The sequence below is a fragment of the Homo sapiens genome, chromosome 3 (genome assembly GCF_000001405.40).
Source record: "Homo sapiens chromosome 3, GRCh38.p14 Primary Assembly".
NCBI lineage: Eukaryota > Metazoa > Chordata > Mammalia > Primates > Hominidae > Homo > Homo sapiens.
In genome coordinates, this window is record NC_000003.12 from 186595099 (window position 1) to 186603050 (window position 7952).

General features: G+C 45.7%; 1 pseudogene, besides 1 other annotated feature; it reads left to right on the forward strand.

The window, feature by feature from the left end:
• Positions 1842-2136: an enhancer, noted in NCBI's record as "tiled region #9080; HepG2 Activating non-DNase unmatched - State 6:EnhF, and K562 Activating DNase unmatched - State 5:Enh". NCBI's record gives its function as "activates a minimal TATA promoter and a strong SV40 promoter by Sharpr-MPRA in HepG2 and K562 cells {active_cell/tissue: HepG2 | K562}" and the evidence as "EXISTENCE:reporter gene assay evidence [ECO:0000049][PMID:27701403]".
• Positions 1866-2173, forward strand: PET100P1 (PET100 pseudogene 1; annotated as a pseudogene).

A 7952-nucleotide genomic window follows, 5' to 3' on the forward strand; every position in this document is an offset into this window, starting at 1 on the left:
GCCTTCCCAAGCTGGTTCACAGATTGGCACACACTGAAAACAACATTCTACATTGCACATTTACGCAGGGGACAGGGAGAAAATAATTTTGTTTGGTACAAGTTGTATATGCACCCTCTTCCTTTATATTAAAGATAAATTATTGCATGTGCTGACTATATGATAAAAACATAAGCATAACTATAATTGGCTTTCATTTCCATTTTCTGTTTATTTTAATGAATAATGTTAAACACTTATACATACTAAGAAGATAGGCTACTTACATGGTTATGGGCTTAAAGGCCTCTGGGGAAAAATATATATAATATATTTATAAATAAATATATATTATATATAAAATATAAATATGTAATATAAAATTTATATATAAATATATATAATATAAACATTGTATATTATATAAAATATATATCATATAAACATTGTATATAATATATATAATATAAACATCATATGTTATATATAAATATATATATTATATATACATTTTGACAGAGTCTCACTCTGTCACCCAGGCTGGACTGCAGTGGCACAGTCATGGCTCACTGCAGCCTTGACCTCCCAAGCTCAAGCCATCCACCCATCTCAGCCTCCCAAGTAGCTGGGACCACAGGTGCATGCCACCATGCCTGACTAATTTTCATATTTTTTGTAGAGACGAGGTTGTAAATATCTTTAAATTTTTTTTTTCTAATCGTATGTTGGCAAAATTCTCCCACTTTTGTTTGCTGTATTCCTTTAAAAATTTATTATTATTTTTAAAATACTGTTTATTAATGTTTTTATATAGAGATGTGGATCTCACTATGTTGCCCAGGCTGGTATTGAACTCCTGGGCTGAAGCGATCCTCCCGCCTCGGCCTTCCAAAGGGCTGCGATTACAGGCAGGAGCCACCGTGCTCAGCCTGTTTGCTCTATTATTTTTTAAATTTTTGTTTGTCTCTTTTTGTTTGTTGTGTAGTTATTAATTTTATGAATCTCCTTAAGGTAAATATTAAGGGATTTTTACAATTTAGATAATAAAATATATTAGTTGTTTGCTATAAACAGTGATATTTCAGATTTTTGGCTGACTTGGACTCCTGACAGCTGGCAACAGCCCACTGGCTGGTCTGAGAGTCCCTGTCACAGTCTGAGCTTGAAGGCACAGTTTGCAAAAACCCTCAAGAAGGAAAGCCCAGAACCAGCAAAAAACATCTTTTTTTTTTTTTTTTTTTGAGACGGAGTCTCGCTCTGTGGCCCAGGCTGGAGTGCAGTGGCGTGATCTCGGCTCACTGCAAGCTCCACCTCCCGGGTTCATGCCATTCTCCTGCCTCAGCCTCCCGTGTAGCTGGGACTACAGGTGCCCGCCACCACGCCTGGCTAATTTTTTTTTGTATTTTTTAGTAGCGACGGGGTTTCACTGTGTTAGCTAGGATGGTCTCGATCTCCTGACCTCCTGATCCGCCCGCCTCGGCCTCCCAAAGTGCTGGGATTACAGGCGTGAGCCACCGCACCCTGCCACAAAGAACATTTTTTAAAATGTTCCTCTATTTGCATGAAAGGGCACTGCCTGCTGTGGAAAGGATGGATCCGGTGCACATTCTATCAACTATGGAGAGTCATGCAGGGAAACAGATTGGTTGCTGTCCAGCTTCCAGGTCATTCTAGTGTCATATTAACTCCCCTTTCCGAGTGCTGCCCGGGGCCTATTCATGCCTACCCCTCCCCATATGACTCAGGGAGGGGCTCTCTGTACTCTTGGCAGCCAGAGAAAAGCCCATGATCTCTGGTGTAGAGATGAAGTGGGCACAATTACATCAAAAGGAGAGAGGGAGAGCTCACTCGTGAAAGCTTTCATTTGGTATAAAGAAACAATCAGGGGGAGAAACGAGATGGGGGTGAAGCTGGAGATATTTCGGATGATAATCTACCTCACTTTCCCTGTGGCTATGTTCTGGGTTTCCAATCAGGCCGAGTGGTTTGAGGATGATGTCATACAGCGCAAGAGGGAGCTGTGGCCACCTGAGAAGCTTCAAGAGTTAGAGGAATTCAAAGAGAGGTTACGGAAGCGGAAGCGGCGGGAGGAGAAGCTCCTTCGCGACGCCCAGCAGAACTCCTGAGGCCTCCAAGTGGGAGTCCTAGCCCCTCCCCTGATGAAATATACATATACTCAGTTCCTTGTTATTCAAAAAAAAAAAAAAAAAAGAGAAAACATCAGGAGCAATTGTAGGTTTCTTCAATGGGAAAAATAAGATTAAAACAATATACTTCATTGCTTAAACATTTATTAAACAGCCACTATGTGCATGAACTTCAGGAGGCACTGGGAAACCAGGGATACCCAGAGCCCAGCTCCTACACAGAGGAGTCCAGCCAGTGCAGGGTGGGGTGCAGGCCGTGCTCCAGCCTGTCCTCCGCAGCAGATCCCTGAGCTCAGACTCCTCCCAACACACAGCTTAAGAAGGTGCCTTCCAATCTATTAGGCATCCTCATCTGGGGTTTGCTGATGATGAGTCTGGTTTTCTTTCTTTCTTTCTTTCTTTCTTTCTTTCTTTCTTTCTTTCTTTCTTTCTTTCTTTCTTTCTTTCTCTTTCTTTCTCTTCCTTCCTTCCTTCCTTTCTTCTTTCTTTTTTCCTTCCTTCCTTCCTTCTCTCCTTCCCTCCTTTCCCTTCCTTCCTTTCTTTTTCCTTCCTTCCTTCCCTCCCTCCCTCGCTCCTTCCCTTCTTTCTTTCTCTTTCTTTCCCTCTCTCTTTCTTTCTTCTTTCTTTTTCAAAACAGAGTTTCACTCTTGTTCTCCAGGCTAAAGTGCAGTGGCGCGATCTCAGCTCACTGCAACCTCCGCCTCCCAGGTTCAAATGATTCTCTTGCCTCAGCCTCCCAAGTAGCTGGGATTACAGGCGTGCGCCACCATGCCTGGGTACTTTTTTGTATTTTTAGTAGAGACGGGGTTTCACCATGTTGGCCAGGCTGGTCTCAAACTCCTGACCTTGAGTGATCTGCCAACCTCAGCCTCCCAAGCTGCTGAGATTACAGGTGTGAGCCACTGTGCCCCAGCCTGGTTTTCTTTTTTTTTTTCTTTTGAGAAAGAGTTTCCCCTTCGTCACCCAAGCTGGAGTGCAATGGCACGATCTCGGCTCACTGCAACCTCTGCCTCCTGTAATCCCAGCTACTTAGGAGGCTGAGGCATGAGAATTGCTCAATTGCTGGGATTCCAGGCACACACCTCCACGCCTGGCTAATTTTTGTATTTTTTGTAGAGATGGGGGTTTCATCATGTTGGCCAGGCTGGTCTCGAACTCCTGACCTTGTCATCTGCCCGTCTTGGCCTCCCAAAGTGCTGGGATTATAGGCATGAGCCACAGCGCCTGCCCTGGTTCTGGTTTTCTCCACTCCTGCAGCATGGTTTTCATCACCTTCTCCCACCTCCCCTTCCTCCTCCTTCACACACATTCTTCTTTGAAAATGTCATCACCACCTCCTCTATGTATGGCACGGAACCAGACCCTGGCCACCGCTGTTTATAGCAAGAGAAGCGGACCATAGTAGAGGAGCTGTGCCAAGCAGGCCCTGTGCTCTCAGGACAGCAGTAAGTTGTAGCTGCTCCAGACCTGACACGTGTGCTCTGAAAGGTGACTTCATTCCTTGTTGATGAATGCATCTGAATGGAAAGTGTTAGAATGATAGGAACTTTAAGTCACACACTTATTTTAGTATTTAACAAAATGCCTCGGCTAAGGAAAAAACTAAACAATTGAGGCAATTGCAAAAAATCAAAGTCTGACAACCTCATGGTTATAGCCCTGTTTCCAGAGTAGTAGGCCCCCTGGCTCTGCCCTTGTGCACCCCAAAACAGCCTGGCCTGTAAGTGGAAAAGTACATGTGGCATGTGTGTGTGTGTGTGTGTGTGTGTGTGTGTGTGTTAGAGACACCATCAGAGAGTGGCAGGGCAGAGACAGAACTTAGGCTCGTAGCTGCTGGTGGGTTAGAATTTCTACTTGGGTGGAGCTCAGGTAGCCTGGCCGGTGGTGAGGTGGACTGACATGTCACAAAGTGGCGCTCACATAGCATTTTATGTTCAACTGAGAAAACACCAGTCATTCATAGCAAAGGAAGGGAAGTGCTGACGGAAATTAGGGTGCCCTAGGCCCCATCCCCATCCACTCCAGGTCACCCTGTATGCCCCGATTCCCTGCTCGGGTTCTCTGGTCAATAATTTTTCCCTGGACACTGAATAACAAAAGGACTTTGAACTTACACTTCATTACATCAGAAAGTCACTGAACCTTGACCTGTTAGTTTTGGATTTTCTACCAAGAGATAATGCTGCCGCCCCTCTTTACAATCTCCTCTTTACATGTCGTCTCTGTTGGTTTAAACTGTCCTTGGTAACCATTTCCTATCCCTTCTTAAATGTGACGTTCCCAAATTTCTTTTGGTTAAGGGTTGTATTCTCTGTTCACTTTTCAGAATATGCTGTGTTTTAGTATACAGTGAGTGGACATTGTTTTTTAGCAGTGATCAAATGACATAGGAACTATGAGAGGACCACTCCCTTCTTCAGGGCGTGACTGCCTGCCCTGGGCACTGCTGCCTTCTCCTAGACACTGCGGCCTGTTGCTGGGCACTGCTTCCTCGACCCGGGCACTGCCCGGCTACTGGACCCTGCCCTCTCCTGCCCCAGCTGAGGCCACGGAGCACCCAGGGCCATCCAGAGCTCTGTGCAGACTGTAGAGGAAGGCCTCTTTTCTCTGCTGTGTTACAAGCTGTCAACAGGCATCAAAACAGAGATACCTGAACTTCCTGGGGTCCTCTAGGGACAGTCTCTTCAGTTCTTATTTGTAACAGAACTTGGATATGAGTTCAAAGTAGGGCTGAGCCAGAAGCCAAAACTAAGCAACACTCTTGTTGTTCCCATTGATCACGGAGGCTCTGTTACCAGGCCAGGCCTGTTGGTCCTGACTCTCCAGCCCTACTGCAGGTGGTCCGTCCCACTAGTTCCCAGAGAGCAGCAGCACAGCTTGGAGGAGGCTGAGGCTCTGGGACTGCACAAAACATACTAGCTATCTATGCAACTCTGTCCTGTTTAATTCAGGAGCGGGAGCTGAAACTTTTAGAAGCTATGGGACACATATTGGAAAAGAAAAATCAAAGCTTGGCAGGGCGTGGTGGCTCACGCCTGTAATCCCACCATTTTGGGAGGAGGAGGTGGGCGGATCACTTGAGGTCAGGAGATCCAGACAAGCCTGGCCAACACGGTGAAACCCCCTCACTACTGAAAATACAAAAAATTAGCTGGGCATGCTGCCGGGCACCTGTAATCCCAGCTACTTGGGAGGCTGAGGCAGGAGAATCACTTGAACCCGGGAGGCGGAGGTTGCAGTGAGACGAGCTTGCACCACTGCACTCCAGCCTTCCACTCCAACAAGAGTGAAACTCCATCTCAAAAAAGAAAGAAAGAAAAAAGAAAAATCAAAGCTTGTTGAGCAAGTGGCAAGGTTCAATATTTATGCAAATCTAAGGAATACAACAACATGTACATTGGCACGTCATTCACAATATGCTGAGTTAATATAAGTGATGACAGTCATATGTTCATAGACATACAATTTCAAATGCAAATTTTAGGATAGTCAGTTGAGGGTAGAAATTGTGAGATTTTTAAAAGAAAAATGCCTTTTTCATTTTATGTTGTTTCTCATCTGTGTCACTATGGTATGACTCTAGGTGATTTTGTAAGAGCCAACACTTGCACTGTTTTCTGAACAACTCCAGGCTTCTGTTTGGGGAAACCCACCCTGAGGGAGTGAAGCAGGAGTTGTCGCACTGTGGGGCACACGACACAGGGCAGGATTTGGATCCTGGTCAGAATTCTGCCTCTACCTCTTGCCAGCTGTGCAAATCCCTACACAGAAGTTGTGATATAAAAGATCAAGAGAGCAAGATAGATGATGAGAATTGTATATTTTTTCTTTTCTCTTCCTTCCTTCGTTTCTCTTTCCTTCCTTCCTTCCCTCTTCCTTCCTTTCTTCCCTCCCTCACTCCCTCCCTTCCTTACTTCCTTCCTTCCCTCCCTTCCTTCCTTCCTTCCTTCCTTCCTTCCTTCCTTCCTTTCTTTTTCTTTCTTTTCTTTCTCTCTCTCCCTTCCCTTCCCTTTTCTTTTCTTTTCTTTTCTTTCCATGTTTTGCTACATTGCACAGGCTGGACTCAAACTCCTGGGCTCCTAGTAGTCTCATCAGCTACTAGATACTCCTAGAAGCTGGTGATACTATAGGCACATGCCATGACACCAAGCTTGATAGGGATTCTTAATTGATTTTTCCCTTGGTCTGTATTTGATCTATTATTTGACCTGTTTTAAGTATTTTTCTTTTATTTAAATGACAATTTTTTCCCATTTTTTCGAGTCAGGGTCTCACTCTGTCACCCAGGCTGGAGCGCAGTGGTATGATCATAGCTCACTGCAGCCTCAACCTCCTGGGCTGAAGCAATCCTTCCACCTTAGCCTTCAGTGTAGCTGGGAATGCAGGTGCACGCCACCATAACAGTTATTTTTTTTGTTTTTCCTAGAGACAGCATCTCACCATATTGCTGGGCTGTTCTCAAACTCCTAGGCTTAAGTGGTCCTCCCAACTTGGCTTCTCAAAGTGCTGGGATTATAGGTATGAGCCACCACGCCCAGCCTCAATTCCATATTTTTCTTTTTTTTTTTTTTTGAGATGGAGTCTCACTTTGTCACCTAGGCCGGAGTGCAGTGGCACAATCTCGGCTCACCACAACCTCCACCTACCAGGTTCAAGTGATTCTCCTGCCTCAGCCTCCCGAGTAGCTGGGATTACAGGCGCCCATCACCACTCCCAGCTAATTTTTGTTTTTAGTAGAGACTGAGTTTCACCAGGTTGGCCAGGCTGGTCTCAAACTCCTGACCTCAGGTGATCCGCCTGCCTTGGCCTCCCAAAGTGCTGGGATTACAGGCTTGAGCCACCGCGCCCGGCAGTGACCATATTTTCAATTTAAAATTTCTGATTCTTTAAAAAATCTGCTTTTCTCCAGCTGTGCCTTGAGGTTTCGATGAATAACATGGCTGGATTTAATTTATTAGTTGGGCAGGCACCTAGCAGAGTGGTAATTGGAAGAAAGGATTTTAAAGACCTTGAAAAAGGCTCCCTATAGAAAGGCCACCTGAGCATGGCATTCCTGTGGAAGGGCCTAGATGTGAGCAGCTCAAGAGCAGACTCCAGGTTCACAAGGATTTCTACCATTCCCTAAGCAAAGTCCATACTCCTACACCTCGACTTTGCCAACATATTCCTTCCAACCGATAGCCGTACTCCCATTTCTATCTATCCAAATCCTGCCCATCCTTCAGGGTCAAATTCAAAGTGTCCCCTGTCCACAACACCTTCTTTCCTCTCCCCCTGTCCACCCTCAGCTGGAAATGATCCACTCCCCCCACCCCACCCCCACTCTCCTGCAAATGCCTACAGCACTTGGTTCCTCTAACGTACTAGTTATGATTAATGACTGGCTATATGATTTACATGGCCCAATGCAAGATGAAAACCCAGGGCCCTTGCTAAAAATTCAGGCTGGTCAACATGGTGAACCCCTGTCTCTACTAAAAATACAAAACTTAGCCAGGCAGGGTGGCACATGCCTGTAGTCCCAGCTACTCAGGAGGCTGAGGCGGGAGAATCGTTTGAACCTGGGAGGCGGAGGTTGCAGTGAGCCGAGATCGCACCATTGCACTCTAGCCTGGGTAAAAGACCGAGACTCTGTCTTGAATAAAAAAAGAATTTCAAGACAGCCACAGCAGAACATTCCACAGGCACAGGGTCCTTTTAAGTGCAGGGGCCTGCACAGGACACACACCTGGAAAGCCAGCCCTGGTGATTATACTTGCAGACTCCAATGGGAAGCTGAAAGTCCACTGGGCAAACACAATCTTTTAAATGCCTACGGAATCCCCT